At 47.0% G+C, this 16,269-nt stretch overlaps 1 protein-coding gene across 4 annotated transcripts in view; it reads right to left on the reverse strand.

The window, feature by feature from the left end:
* Window positions 1-4,755, reverse strand: part of POTEI (POTE ankyrin domain family member I) — a 50,253-nt gene extending 45,498 nt beyond the window's left edge. For 2 of the 4 annotated variants that reach the window (XM_024453046.2, NM_001371926.1), the window contains exons 1-2: window positions 4,716-4,755; window positions 3,763-4,376 (exon numbers count right to left, since the gene is read on the reverse strand). In XM_024453046.2, the coding sequence (XP_024308814.1) occupies window positions 3,763-4,283 (521 nt within the window). In that variant the 5' untranslated portion in view covers window positions 4,284-4,376; window positions 4,716-4,755. Of the gene's footprint in view, window positions 1-3,762; window positions 4,377-4,715 lie in introns of those variants that run through there. The other 2 variants (XM_017004732.3, NM_001277406.2) reach the window with 2 other exon arrangements.
* Window positions 4,756-16,269: the final 11,514 nt, after the last annotated feature.

Here is a 16,269-nt window from a genome sequence, read left to right on the forward strand (position 1 = left end):
GGTTTGTTACATAGGTAAATGTGCACCAAGGGTGTTGGTTGTACAGATTATTTCATTACCCAGGTGTTAAGCCCAGTACCTGTTCATTCTATTTCCTGCTTCTTTCCCTCTTCCCACCCTCCACCCTCTGATAGGCCCCAGTGTGTGTTCCTTCCCTCTAGGTATCTGTGTGTTCTCATCATTTAGCTCCCACCTGTAATTGAGAACGTGCTGTATTTGGTTTTCTCTTCCTATGTTAGTTTGCTAAGGATAATGGCTTTCAACACCATCCATGTCCCTGCAAAGGACATGCTCTCGTTCCTTCTTTTATGGCTGCATATTATTCCATGCTGTTTATGTACCACATTTTAGTTCTTAAAACAACTAAAACAGTCTTTTCCCCAAGACATAAATTTTCAAAAGGGCAGTTAAAGGTTATCTATTACTATTTTCTACCTCCAGAAATGCTTTTGTTTGAAAGGAGGGAGGAAAAGCTTCAATTGAGATTAAGTCCTAATGCCCCAATTTTAAATCTCTCAGCTTGCTCAAGCCCAGCAGGAAAACATGTAGTTTTCAAAGACGGAAGGATCCTGAGAGATAGTAGAATATGCCTGCCACATAATAGGTGTCTGGCTTATGTCTGATGACTAAATGGATAGGAAAAATGGATGAACACAGCTTGGGAGTTCAATATTTTTAAAGAAAACTCCTATAGAGTAGCGCAATACATTTGCAATAGCAATAATCATTTATATTTGCTATTTTAATTTTCATAAATATATAACTCAACTAAAATGATTAATTCATACTTTTTACATGTTAATCTATATATAATGAAAAGATAATTATGGAATAAAATGTATATATAATAAAATCTACAGGAACAGGTAAACACGACCCCTCTTCTTCTGAAGAGGGTAAAAGTTCACAGAAAATAGCCAACCACAGAAATAAAAATAAATAATAGAATGTGAGGAATTATTTGCATCTATGCAAGAAGCATATTCCTTCTCTTCCCAAGGATTATTGCATTAGTAATGAACCTTAACTACAACTTCAGATGTTCATTGCAGAAATCACAGATAAGAGAAAGGGAAAAACTTCACTTACAAATCCCCAGAAACAAGTTTGATTATATTTTCTACAGATTTGCAGCTAACACGAGCAGATTCTGTTCGTGTATATGTGTAACAAACTGATTTTTTTCTCACTTGATATAGCAAAGTACATCTTTGCACGTCGACATATCTCTGTATCTACTGACACCCTCAATAGTTACATATTATTCCATCCTATGGATGCACTGAAATTTGTTCATAAAATCTTTATATGGGTTCTTCTAAATACACTGCTATTTTAAGCAATACTAAGAAAAACACATCTATTTCGTAAAGATATTTCAGTATAATGGAATTGATAAGTAAAAAGCATACACATTTTTAAAATGTAGTTCTTACCACTAAAGTGTCTGTTTGAAAAGCTGCAGCAACTTAAACTTTAAACAACTACATAAGTACCACTGTTCTTCATCCTCACAAACTTTGTGGATGGAAAACAGTATTTCATTCCTTTTTTTTTTTTTTTCTTTTTTTTTTGAGATGGAGTCTCACTCTATCACCCAGGCTGGAATGTAGTGGCGCGATCTCGGCTCACTGCAACCTCCACCTCCCTGGTTCAAGCAATTCTCTTGCTTCAGCCTCCTGAGTAGCTGGGATTACAGGTGCGTGCCACCATGCCCAGCTAATTTTTTGTATTTTTAGTAGAGATGGGATTTCACCACACTGGCCAGGCTGGTCTCAAACTCCTGACTTCATGATCCACCGCCTCAGCCTCCTAAAGTGCTGGGATAACAGGCGTAAGCCACTGCACCCGGCCTTTCATTCCTCTTCTAACTTAAATAGAAAGCAGTATTTCATTCCTCTTCTAACTTAAATTCCTTCTTCTACCAGGAACACTGTATTTTCCTATGTGCATAGGTCACTGGTAGATATGCAAAAAAAGTACTTTGCCCAATTTTAAAATGAGCTTATTTTATTATGTCTGCATATATACACCAGGCACGGTGGCTCACGCCTGTAACCCCAGCACTTGGGGAGGCCAAGGTGGGTGGATCACGAGGACAGGAGTTCAAGACCTGCCTGGCCAAGATGGTGAAACCCCATCTCTAGTAAAAATACAAAACAATTAGCCAGGCATGGTGGCAGGCGCCTGTAATCCCAGCTACTCAGTAGGCTGAAGCAGAGAATTGCTTGAACCTAGGAGGCAGAGGTTGCAGTGAGCCGAGATCACACCACTGCACTCCAGCTTGGGCTACAGAGTGAGACTCCACCAAAAAAAAAAGGATATATATATATATATATATATATATATATATATATATATATATACACACACACACACACACACATATATATGTATATATATACACACACATATATATGTATATATACATATGTATATATATGTATATATGTGTATATATATGTATATATATATATATCTGCGTATATAAATAGGCATTTATATTTTTTCTGGTATGTTTCTCCTTTTGTATGTTTAAAATTTTTAATCTATACTCTTATTTTTGTGACATAAAAATCTAGCTAGTTTTCTCCAAAAATGAATTATGAACAATCCATCTTTTTTAAATAATACAAAACATCACCATTATCAAGTGCTAAATTCTTACATATATTTGGGTATTTCTAAATTTCCTATTCTGTTCTATTCATTGATGTCTTTTCAGCTGTTAGTAAACAATTTGTGGAAATAAATAACACATGCACATTTTGATATCTGGAAAAGCAAGCCTTTTTCCATTCTGTTACAAAAAATTAATTTATCACAATAATAAAAGACAGCATGTGTAATTTAAAAACGCTAAAACTTTGCTATTTTTATTTGGCTTATGTAAAAGTGATAAATAGAAAAAGCTCACATCTTTTTTTTTTTTTTTTTTTTTGAGACGGAATCTCGCTCTGTCTCCCAGGCTGGAGTGCGGTGGCACTATCTTGGCTCACTGCAAGCTCCGCCTCCCGAGTTCACGCCATTCTCCTGCCTCAGCCTCCTGAGTAGCTGGGACTACAGGCACCTGCCACCGTGCCCGGCTAATTTTTTTTATAATTTTTAGTAGAGACAGGGTTTCACCGTGTTAGCCAGGATGGTCTCGATCTCCTGACCTCGTGATCCGCCCGCCTCCCCAAAGTGCTGGGATTACAGGCATGAGCCACCGCGCCCAGCCAAAAAGCTCACATCTTAAGAAAATTCAATCTTCCTATTCAAGCACAGGAACCATCTTCCCATTTCAGTTTCCTTCTAAGGTTCCTCAGTAAAGAACGTATTTACATAGGGTACATTGATATAAAATCCATACTGGATTTTATTTGAAGAATATTTAGCCCTGAAGTTGATGTGTTATGGGGCTTCATTCTTAGTTCTCAATATACACTTTTCTATAATGTATAGAACATTGTTTTAAAATCTGTAGATTAAAAATAATCTGCTGCATTGACTTAATTAATTTTGCAAGTTAAATCACTTTAAAACAGTCTATTAGTGTTCTACGAGGGAAATTATAATTTGATTGGAAATCAGCTAAAGTTTTTTTTGTGTGTGTTGCTGTTCATAAAGGGGCCTGTGCCCTGACCTCTCTGAGGTTTCCACAACCAGGGTGCTGTGAGGCCTGCGGAGGTGAGAAAGCCAGGTCCCCCTCCTCCCCCGCCAGGAGGGTATGTCCCCATCATCCCCCGACCTCCCACCTCCTCCCAGCCCAGGCCTGGTTACCTCTTTTGCTTGTCCTGCTTGTTCACGTCAGTGTCCCTGAGCATGACGATCAGATCCTTTCTGGCGACTTTACCCCACCAGGCAGCTCTGTGGAGCTTGTCCAGATCTTCTCGACGGACGTGGTATCTCGGCTCCACGAAGGCGCTGTCGTCGTAGTCTCCCCAAGCACCCACGTTGCTCTTGCCGCTCCCCCTGCAGCAGGGGAAGCAGTGGCAGCACCACTTGCCCATCTTGCTCCTGAGCGTCTTCATAGCGGAGTCGTCGTGGTCTCCAGAAGTGCCCACGTTGCTCTTGCCACTCCCCCTGCAGCAGGGGAAGCAGTGGCAGCACCACTTGCCCATCTTGCTCCTGAGTGTCTTCATAGTGGAGTCGTCCTGGTCTCCAGAAGTGCCCACGTTGCTCTTGCCGCTCCCCCTGCAGCAGGGGAAGCAGTGGCGGCACCACTTGCCCATCTTGCTCCTGAGAACAAATGGCTTCTTCACAGAAGAGGCAGCCGGCATTGAATCAACCTCAGCTACCATCTGCTTTTAACAGCCTGGGGAGGCCGGTAGTAGCGAGCAGATCACGTCTACCAACCAGTTTCACCAACTAGCAGGTAACTCCGGGTTTCCAATCTGTTTGAAGAGAAAAGTCAATCCCAGCCAAAACCTGCCAACCCCAGCAGGTAAGCCCAACCCACCCCACCCAGGGAAAACCCACACCCACCCGGGGAAAGCCCACGCCCACCCGAGGAAGGGCCAACCCCCCCCCCCAAGAAAACACCCAGCCCACCCAAGGGAATGCCAAACCCAGCAGAGAAAAGGTCAAGCCTAGCAAGGGAACGCGAGAGAGGAAACGCCAATCCAAGGAGGAAACGTCAATCCAAGGAGGAACACCAGGCCAAGCGACCAACACCAAGCCAAGCAAAGAACGCAAAGCCAAGCCAAGCCGCTACAGGCCAGCCAAGCAGTTACCCGCGTGCAGCATGCGCGTGCAAGCCGTTACAGGCCAGCCAAGCCATTACGCGCGTGCGGCGTGCGCGTGCAAGCCGTTACAGGCCAGCCAAACCGCTATGCGCGTGTGGCGTGCGCGTGCAAGCCATTACAAGCCAGCCAAGCCGCTGCCGCGTGCGCGTGCGGCGTGCGCGTGCGGCGTGCAGCGTGTGCATCTCAGGTGGCGTCAGTGCATGTGGCACAGACAGTGGCCAATGCGTGCAACCGCGTGTTTAAATCTTGGCGCCACGAATGTCACCGACAGCCTTATGTTCCTGGCAAACTTCATGGGACTCAGCTGAGCTTTCAGGCCATTGAGAAGCCTCTGGTGAAAAAAAAGCCTCTTGAAGCAGGACTGGGGCTAAGCGGCTGGAACTTGAGGATGCTGACAGCCTCCTCTGAAGAAAGCCCCCAGGACACTCCTGGCGGTGCTGTTGTGCGTGGCAGCGTCTGCAGCTCGGAGCTGGGGCTGGAGGAGCTGGCTGCAAATGGCCTCAAAATCCCGGAGCACAAGATGCCCACTGAGCCCAGCGCCTGCCTGAGGTGCCTTTGACACCTGGTCCTCTTTGCTCTGCACCCAGAACACGAGGCCATCAGCGAGGGGGCATTTGGGGCCACAGGATCGCGGCCAGCTCCTGCCCCGGTGCCCCCTGCCCGGTGTCCAAGCCAGGGCCAACAGCTATAGGGCTTCTGGCCTGGGGGGCTCTGCTCCACTGGCATGCAATAGGGTCAAGGTGCAGACCGCTGTGTCCACGCCGGCAAGAGGGGGCTTGGAGGAGCAGTCACAGGACAGTACTCTCCCCTCCTGTGGATGACTCCTTCCTGCCCTTTCCTCTCTCTGCTAAAGCCTCCAACGTTCTCTGTCCCATCCATATGCTCCACTTATGCCCCTGCTTTTGCTTTGATTTTCTCATTAAAATAAATCTGCAGGCTGGCTGGGTGCAGTGGCTCATGCCTGTAATCCCAGCACTTTGGGAGACCGAGGCAGGTGGATCACCTGAGGTCGGGAGTTCGAGACCAGCCTGACCAACATGGAGAAACCTTGTCTCTACTAAAAATACAAAATTAGCCAGGCGTGGTGGTGCACGCCTGTAATCCCAGCTACTTGGGAGGCTGAGGCAGGAGAATCGCTTGATCCCGAGAGGCGGAGGTTGCGGTGAGCCAAGATACTGCCATTGCACTCCAGCCTGGGCAACAAGAGCAAAAGTCCATCTCATAAATAAATAAATAAATAAATAAATAAATAAATAAATAAATAAATAAAATAGATCTGCAGGCTGCCCCCTCACGGCAACGTGTCTTCCCTGCATTACTGCAGAAGGATGGCCACACCCCTGCCCTGGCGGACTAGACCTCTTAAGGACACCTCTGCCTTCCACCTCACTCCTGAATCACCCACTTCTTCCTCTCTAGTCAGTTGGACAAACGTGCTTTTTCCTGGCCCATCTTTAAAACATCCTCTTCATGCTTCGCTCTCCAGCTGCATCCCATTTCTCTGTTCCCCTGTAGAGCAAAATGGCTCCAAAGCGTGGTCTCGTCTTACCTTGAACACCCCTCCTCCCTCTCGCTATGTGAGCTACTCCAGTTCAGCTCTCCACCTCTGCACTACCCTGAACCTGCTCCTGCCGGCAGCAATGGCCTATGGAGAAGTGCAGCCCCCAGCTGTAAGACAGGGGGCCTCCCTCCCTGCTGCTCCTCAGCACCCCCTGCACGTGGCTTCCTGGACCACTCCTCTCCCGCTCCAAGGCCCCTCCTCCGCGCACATTTCGGGACTCCTGGCTGCCCAAGGCCGCTCTTCTGTTTTCTGTCCACACCTGCTCCCTGGGGTTGCATTTATTCCCGCAGCTCCAAATGCCACCTGCCTGCTCATCGCGCCCCGCCCAGGCCTCTCCCTCGCTAGGAGCGTCTCCTCCGTTTTTCCACTTGATGCTCATAGACACCACCTCTCGCCCTTCCTTCACAGTCAGCTCCAAACAAAACAGTCTCCGTTTCAGTTCATGGCTCCTCAGGACGGAAAACCCCGAGTCCTCCCCGTGTGCTCTTTCTCTCACACCCAGATCCAACCCAGCATTAATCCCTGCGACTCTTGCAAGCTTCCAGCCTCCACCGCCCTGACCTAGGCTCCGGGTCCCCTCGCAGCCGCCTCCACCCTGCGCCCTGCGGTTCATGCTCCACACAGGCTCAAAAGTCAGATCGCGCCTCCCTGGCTCCACCAGAGAGCAGGCCTGCGAGGCCTACAGCAGGGGCCAGCACTCCCTGCTCCTTCCTGGGCCCAGCGCACTCTTTGCAGGCATCCTGGCTCCCTCAGCAGAGGAGGTCTTGCCAGAGTGTCACTTTCTCTGTGAAACACTCCAAATGTCCCTTTATGCCCTCATTTTTTTACTCTCCATAGCATTTTTCTTCCTCTAATATACTATTTACTTATGTTGTTTATTTTCTTTCTTCTCCTACCAGAATGTACTGGCCATAAAGGCAGAACTTTTTTTCCTGCTTTGTTTACCTTTGTATCCCTGGTAGCACAGACGTATTTAATATTTAATTGTTGAGAGAATGAATGAATATGCTCCCCCTATTTACCTATCACTCTGCTGCCCTGCAACGGGCCCTCAGCTTCCTGCTAACAAAGATTCTCTGCTTGGCCAAAGGGTAGTCCAGCTCCCGAGCCTCCTCCTACGTCCATCTGTGCACGTCCTGGTAAAATCCAGTTTCACCAAGAACCTTGGTAAGTCAGTTTAGCAAGAAGCCCCTACCCTCAATACCTCATCGCCCTCCATATCTGATGAGGCTCCTCATCCTCCATCGTCCCCAAGGTGAAGTCTGACCACCATGGCCTGTCGTCAGCAAGAATCCTATTGGGCCAGATTAGCCAGAGTCCTTTAACTCTGAATCACCTTTTAGTCATTTTCCACCCACTGCCCCCAACCCTGCTCCTTGGTTATCAGCTCCCCCTCGCCCATGCTGTATTTGAGTTGAACCTGATCTATCTCGATCCACCTATACCTACCTCAATGGTCTGGAATAAAGTCCACCTGCCATGCTAGTAACGTTGAGTAATTTTTCTTTAACACTGCTCATGCTGACCTTATACCTGCTGACCTCAGCCCCTCTCTCCACCACTCTGTGTCCTCCACCCAGTTTTGCTGGCTCTTCCAAGCAGACAATGTCCTCCCTGCTTTCTGTTTCCACAGTCTTTCCTCCGCATCTCTTCTTGGACACTAATGATTGATGTGTTCATCTCCCCTCCCTTCCACACTAAGCTTAGCCCCACAGCCTCTTGTCTAAGACTAGCTGAAGTAGTGCTTGAAGAAACCAGCTCTGAGAGGTTAAACGGTCTGCCAAAACCAGTGAGGTCCCTACCTCTGTGCATTCACACCTGCCACCTCTGGAAAGAGACCTGGCACTGCACCCTGCTGAGGCTGCCCAGCTACCCTGAGCCCTCGCCCAATGCCACCAACAGTGAATCTGCATCAGAGACACTGGACTGAACCCTAGCTTTTGGCGATTTGCTAAGTTAGAGAAATCACGTGTTTAGCATTGAACCCAAGCAGCACCTGTCTTAGTCTGTTATATGCTGTTTATAGCAGAAAACGTGAAACTGGGTAATTGATAAAGAAAAGAAATTTTCATTTCTCTCCCAAGGTCGAGGGAGCACATCTGGTGAGGAACTTCTTGCTGGTGAGGACTCTGCAGAGTCCCAAGGCAGTGTAGGACAGTCCATGGCAAGGAGGTGGAGCATGCTGATGCTACCTCTTCTTCTTCTTCCTTTAAAGCCTTCAGTCCCATTGATATCATAATGCACTAATCCATTAACTCATGGTGGATGAGTCCATTCGTGAGAATGAAGCCCTCAGGACCCAATCGCCACTTAAAGAACCCAACTTCTCACACTGCCACACTGGGGATTCAGTTTCAGCAGGAGTTTCAGACAGGACAAACACTGCTATCATAGCCACCCCTCTTCTCATGCCACCCAGGCTGGGACCCCAGCCTACCCTGCAACTTAGCCACAGGGCACAAGCCCCAAGGCCTCCTACCCCCTGCCACATTCAGGAGTCCCACCCAGTCTTCCTGAAAGGCTCCCACTCTTCCTTCTTCTTTCCAGCCAGAATGGCCGTAAATCACACACCCCTCCTTCCTGTTCAAATCAGGTACCCCTCCTTCCGTCTCCCAGCATGTGACCTCTATCACACCTCACACTGGAGCTGGCAGAGGGAAGGTGCTTTCTTCTTAACTTAGTGAGCCAGGGCCTGAGCAGGCTCTCAGGAGTGCTGGTGACTGAATTAGGAGGGTGGGAGCGTGCAGCAATGTCAACAGAGGTGCACCTGCTGGAGAGATTTCAGGAAATCCCTAAGCAGCTATTGTTCATAAACAGTTGTGTGACAATAGTTATTTGCAGCTCAAACACAAAGTCAACAATTAATAAACTATGTGGCATGAGGGGATTGTTGTCTTTGTGAAAATAGGAAGCTTATTTTTTCATTTGTACACATTCATGGGGTACATGTGCAATTTTGTTACATGCATGGATTGCATAGTGGCCAAGTTGGGGCTTTTAGGATATCCGTCACCAGAATAATGTACATTGCACCCATTAACCAATTTCTCCTCCTCCTCCTCCCTGCCACCCCTTCACCCTTTGTCTCCATTGTCTCTCATCTTACTTTCAGCATACATATTTTTTAGCTCCCAATTATGAGTGAGCACATGCAATGTTTGTCTTTCTATGCCTGGCTTATTTCACTTAAGAACTTAAGATAATGGCTTCCATTTCCATCCAGGTTGCTGCAAAAGACATGATTTCGTTCTTTTTATGGCTGAATAGTTTACCATTGTGTATATATGGCACATTATCTTTATCCGTTTATCCAATGATGGACACCTTGGTCGATTCCTTATCTTTGCGATTGTGAAGCTTTGACTTATTAATGAAGTGGCTTGAAATTCACCCAGGAAATTGCTGAGGTCTTATCAGAACTGAGTCCTTTGCTGGGTCTGCAGTCATTTGGATCAAGCATGACCTTATTCCCAGCAGGGTGGGCATTCAGAACTGCAGAGCTCTACTCCACACAGCCCCTCTGGGTCCCTTATTGGACCTGGGCCTGAAGAAAAGAAAATCTGTCTCTGCATTTTATGCAAAAGTACGGTTATTACTGGTTTGTTTTGTTGTTGTTGTTTGTTTTTTGTTTGTTTGTTTGTTTTGACAGAGTTTTGCTCTTGTCGCCCCGGCTGGAGTGCAATGGCATGATCTCGGCTCACTGCAACCTCTGCCTCCCGGGTTCCAGCGATTCTCCTGCTTCAGCCTCCTGAGTAGGAGGGATTACAGGCATGTGCCACCACGCCCGGCTAATTTTGTATTTTTAGTAGAAACAGGGTTTCACCATGTTGGCCAGGCTGGTCTCCAACTCCTGACCTCAAGTGATCTGCCTGCCTTGGCCTCCCATAGTGCTGGGATTACAGGTGTGAGCCACTGCACTTGGCCCGATTATTACTTTTTATCTTAAAACCTTGAAATTATCCCTCAAAAAAGGCTGTTCATGTTATTAAGTTTTTTGGTTTTTGTTTTTTTTTTTGTTTTGTTTTTTTTTGAGACAGAGTCTCTCTCTGTTGTCCAGGCTGGAGTGCAGTGGCGCGATCTCGGCTCACTGCAAGCTCTGCCTCCTGGGTTCACGCCATTCTCCCGCCTCAGCCTCCCAAGCAGCTGGGACTACAAGCACCTGCCACCGCGCCCAGCTAATTTTTTGTATTGTTAGTAGAGACGGGGTTTCACCATGTTAGCCAAGATGGTCTCGATCTCCTGACCTCATGATCCGCCTGCCTCGGGCTCCCAAAGTGCTGGGATTACAGGCGTGAGCCACCACTCCTGGCCCATTTTATTAACTCTTAAATTGAGCTCAGTTCTCTATGTGAACTCAGTTGTCAATCATTAAAACTGGTAGGTTGGCTGTTTCAAGGCAAAATCTACTTCTTACTCCAAACTGGTTTCCTTTTCAAATTTAAACAGGGAGGAAGCCCCAGCCCAACTGGCTGGATCCCAGAGCTGCAGGTGACAACCCCCATGCACCCTCTGAGTCTCACTGTGAAATCCAGAACATTGGTGTGCAGTCTGGAGGGACTAGTGTTAAGCTCTTTATATATCAAGTGCTATCTATGAACAAATGAGGTTGATTCACAGAGTTTCATCAGCAGGGCATCATCCCCCAATAAAATACTAACTTTAAAGTTAATTCTTATTGTAGATCCATATAGAAGTGCTTCATATGGAAAATTACCTTTTAAGGGGCCCAAAAGACATGTGGCTATACCAAGAACAAAATGCAGGTTAGCAAAGCCCTGCATCAATGTTTATAATTAAGTGGTTCTTATTATATTGAGGCAAAATCCAGACTTTTGCTTCATCAAATTTTAGAATAAATCAGCTTTAACAAGTAGAATTAAATGAGATATAATCTAGTAAGAAGTTAGAAATTGAGAACAAAATCCAATAGAAAGGAAGATTGAGATATGAACTGAGGGGTTCATGGTGCTTACCGCTTGGGATTCTGAGGCAAAAACGCATCTCATCCCCAAATGGAATTTAGGCTGGATGGTCCAGGGTTCTGGAGCACTGTTGTTAATTCAGTTCCATCTAATACAGATTTGTGGGAACACAGCCTCATTTTTCAGACATCCTAAATATGAAAATATTCAGGAAGAAGATGTCATGATGTATGTAATTTACTTTAAAATTCTTCACTAAAAACAAAATAGCACATATGGCAAAACGAGTTTAATCTATGGGTGTGGCTAAGTCTCTGACAGGGCCCCAAAGAGTCCTTCCTGGCCTTCATGCCAATGTGCAACCTCCACCCTTAGAGTGGCCCTGGACTCACCTCTAACAGACAGCAGGTCACAAAAGGCGGGGACTCCCACTCTCTCACCCTCTCCCTCCTACCCTAGGGGAGGCCATATGTGCTGGTGCAGGGGAGAGGCCACCAGGCTGGAAGTGGAGGGTGTAGGGGCTGGGTGGAGGAAAGGGCAGGAAAGACCCTTCCAAGCCCAAATGCTTCTGGTCAAAGCACTCAGGCACTGCAGGGTCCTGGCTGTTTCCTGAATGCCACCCAGTTGAAAGGGAAGCTCCTGAGGGAGGGTGCTTCTCTGTGTCCCAGTCCTCAGGGCTCTGCAGCAGCACTGGCACTGCCATGGGAAGATAAAATGGTCTTGATGCCTGACCCAGCTCTGAGCCCAGAGGTGAGGACAGACTGATTCCCCTCCTTGAGCCTGCACTCCCAGGAGGGCCCCTGCACGCCAGGCCTGTCCTTCAGCACGTGACTGCCTGCCTCCCTGAAAGATCCAATCTCTCTCTTTTTTTTTTTTTTTTTTTTTTTGAGACAGAGTCTCACTCTGTCACCCAGGCTGGAGTGCAGTGGCACAATCTCAGCTCACTGCAACCTCCGCCTCCCAGATTCATGTGATTCATTGCTTTTGTTTGTTTGTTTGTTTCTTGAGACAGAGTCTCACTCTGTTACCCAGGCTGGAGTGCAGTGGCGCAATCTCAGCTCACTGCAACCCCGCCTCCCGGGTTCAAGTAATTCTCCTGCCTCAGCCTCCCAAGTAGCTGGGACTACAGGCGCCCACCACCATGCCTGGCTAATTTTTGTACTTTTTTTTTAGTAGAGACAGGGTTTCACCATGTTAGCCAAAATGGTCTCCATCTCCTGACTTCGTGATCCACCCGCCTCGGCCTCCCAAAGTGTTGGGATTACTGGTGTGAGCCACCGTGCCCGGCCCCCATCTCTCTCTTAAAGTGCATTATTTTCAGCTTCCATTTTTACTTCAGGGAATTTTTGCTTTCTGCACCATGTTTTGTTCAAGTACATCTTTTCTGGCAGGTATTTTGTATGATTTAGAGACTAAAAGCATTGCTAATTATGCTAAATAAAAATTGGTATAATTAATAAAGGTCCTTATCTGAGCATAGCATCATCTGGAAAATGAAGTTTGGTCCTGGAGCCCGACTGCTTGCGGAGGTGATGTTCTGTCCAGCATGGTCACTGCCTGGAGGCCAAAATGAGCATCTCAGACTGTGCTGGGCTTTCTGAAGGGCCACACAACAGTTCAGATTCACCATTTGATTTAAAGGAACATCAGCCGGACTCACGCCATTGCCTTTGAGGACTGTCTACAGGGTCCCCCCGTGAATGAAAATGTCTGTGTAAGGACCCTGCGTAAAAGATGCTCTCTGTAATTCTAGAAAGCCACCAGTACAAATGCACTCTAAATGCAGCAAAAATTACTAAATTACATAACACATAACAATCATGGAAAAACAAAAACCTGGTGTATCTGTCAGCTCGGGCTGCCCTAACCAAATGCCGCAGGCTGGGAGGCCTAACCCACAGAGACATTTCCTCTCACAGTTCTGGAGGCTGGAAGTCTGAAGTCAAGGCGTCACCAGATTTGGGTTCCCCGGAGTCCTCCTTTATCGGTATGTGGATAGCTACCATCTCACTGTGCTCTTCCAAAAGGTAGAAAAACCAAATATGCATCAACAGATGACAAACAGACAAAATGCGGTGGATGGGTGTTCGTGAAATATTATTCAGTCACAAAAGGAGTGAAGCTCTGATGTGCGCTACAGCACAGATGGACCTAAGACATTATGCTACGTGGCATAGGCCGGACGCAAAAGGAAAATACTGCATGATTCCCCTCACATGCAATCTCTAGATGAGGAAAATGTGTGGAGACAGAAAGCAGCCCCACCCAAGAAGCCAGGAGGGTGGAGAAAGGTGTTTCTCACTCCCCACAGGTGCCGGGGACAGCCCACTTGGACAGCCATCGCTTTAAAGTCCTCCTCAGAGAATCCCTTCACACCTAATTTGTTGCAGAGCATTTTCCTTCATGATGGATGTGCTGAGAACATTGACGGGGCCTCCAGTCCTGGCACGGGGTTCCGGTCCCACACACTCTATGAGCCAGAACATTCCTCTGGAGTTTTGACGGGTGGGTCGGCTCCAGCCTTATCTGTTCACAGCTGATAAGGAGAAAAGAGGCCCTTTCCTGGCAGGGACCCACCTCCTCCCTTCCAGTGCTCCCAGGCAACCCTTCCAGCTGGGCCTCTTGATGGCAAACAGGGCAGCGCCTCTGCAGTAAAATGCAAAACCCTTTTATAAGACCTTTGAGTCAATGCGGCAACCTGGGACCGCTTTGTGTGGAGAGCAAGTGACAGTTTGGCGAAAATAGGTCATCAGAAGCTTTATTGCCTGGCCATCAGCCCTTCTCCTCAGAGCCGACTGCAGAGCTTAAGCAAACAGCTTAAGCACGTCGCACTGCTATTTCTTGCTTCTCAGTTCTGTCTTGCTGGCAAGACATTTTTTTTTCCTAGTTTCCACTTATAAAGTGCAGATTTTCAAAATCTTACTCTACATATGAAATGTCATGATGTATTGGAGTTTTTAAAACTTCAAGAAAAAAGTTAGGGAGGAAACAAATGAAATAAAATTGGCAAAGGCTGATACTTAATTGTTGAACCTGGGTTTATTGGCTCATTCTACCAGCCTTTGTGTATGTTTGGAAATGTCCACTAAGGTAAAATTTAATAAATAAACTGTGGGGGAAAGTTAGATTTTAGAGGCTGCTTTTAAAGCTTTACTATTGTCAGAGAGGTTTGGTTTCAATATCACTCTGTAAAATGAACAGTTTTAAAACTTATTTATACAAAAAATACAATCATCTAGCTTATATACATCTTCATTTTAGTATACAAACAATTTAGCTCATGCAAAAGATTCTATTAACTTAAAGTCATAAAATGTACTTACTTTTACATATAATTAAATGATGCAATTAACCAGTAGTAACCACTGAGTTTAAAAGTGTATTTTTCGGCCGGGCGCAGTGGCTCATGCCAGTAATCCCAGCACTTTGGGAGGCCGAGGCGGGTGGATCACGAGGTCAGGAGATCAAGACCATCCTGGCTAACACGGTGAAACCCCGTCTCTACTAAAAATACAAAAAAATTAGCCAGGCATGGTGGTGGGCGCCTGTAGTCCCAGCTACTCGGGAGGCTGAGGCAGGAGAATGGTGTGAATCCGGGAGGCGGAGGTTGCAGTGAGCCGAGATTGCACCACTGCACTCCAGCCTGGGCCACAGAGCTAGACTCCGTCTCAAAAAAATAAAGTGTGTTTTTCACCGGACACGGTGGGTTTGTGCCTGTAATCCCAGCACTTTGGGAGGCAGAGGCAGGAGGATCGCTTAAGGCCAGAAGTTAGAGGACAGCCTGGGAAACATAGCAAGATCCCTATCTCTACAAAATAAAAAAAAAATTAGCTGGGCATAGGGGCGCGAGCCTGTAGTCCTAGCCACTCAGAGGCTGGGGTAGGAGGATCACTTAAGCCCAGAAGTTCGAGGATGTGGTGAGCTATGATCGCCCACTGCACTCCAGCCTGGCTGACAGAGTGACACTTTGCCTCTAAAAAACAAAATTAACAAGGTGTTTGTCTCATGACTTACAGCACTTACAGATGCTTGATGAAGTCCTGGGGCACCTTCCTCCATGTGCTCTGCCCACTCGGGTCTGCTGGCCTTGACCTGGTCCTTGCAGCCCACAGGACCCATTGCTGGGAGGCCCCCCAGGGTAGCCCGGTCCTCCAATTTCCTATTGCTTTATTTAACAGCCTCTTTAATAAACCTCACACGTAAAGATGTAAGAAATTAAATCACCATTAAAGACTATTTCAGCCTTGGAGGAAGAATACTATTTTTAGAAATGAGTTTTTATATTAAAATCACAGAACAATTTGCAACACTGGGTTGCAAAGTGTCTTCTTTAGTGCTGATAAAAGGGGCTCAGTCCCTATTCTGGTAGTTAGAAAAGCAGATTTAGAAGGTGCTAGAAAATACCCCAAATCACTCCTTCCTTGGGTTCCGTTTGGATTCAGCAGGCTCCTCTGGCGATGGGCGGGCGCCGCAGTTGCGCCTGTGCTCCCAAGGGCTCGCCTTAAATACCTGTGGGTATCTCCTCATCATATCGGTGCCATTCATGTTTCTCAGAGATCTAACTGCCAAAGGACTTAAACTCTCTAAGCCTCCCTTTCTCTCTTTTCACGTGGGGGATAATAATAGTGCCTACCCTAGAGGGTCCTATAGTAAATGGGGGCAGTGCCCCTCCCCCACTTGCTGGGCACAGAGAAGAGGCTCCATCTGCAGAGTAAGGGGGCCTCTCTTAAAGCAGGGGTGACGTGCTTTCCCTTATCCTCGTGTTCCCCACTCAGGGCGGCTGGGACCCCAGGCTGTTGCCTGTGCCCCACACAGGAGCTCCCTCTCCCACAGGGCCCCTCACCATCTCCCAGTACAAGTAGTATGCAGTAGAAAATCTCCACCTTCCTGTGAAAGCTTTTTGTTCATGTTGGGATTTTTTTTTTTTTCCAGTGAGAAAATGGCTCGTCACCTTGGATACCAATGTTTTACATCAGGGATTGGTCACTCCTGCTGCTGTCAGCACTGTAAACACTGCTGGGGGGAGTCAGCCCAAGTCCCCACCCCCCAGCCAGGTCTC

The sequence above is a fragment of the Homo sapiens genome, chromosome 2, assembly GCF_000001405.40.
Source record: "Homo sapiens chromosome 2, GRCh38.p14 Primary Assembly".
Taxonomy (NCBI): Eukaryota; Metazoa; Chordata; class Mammalia; order Primates; family Hominidae; genus Homo; species Homo sapiens.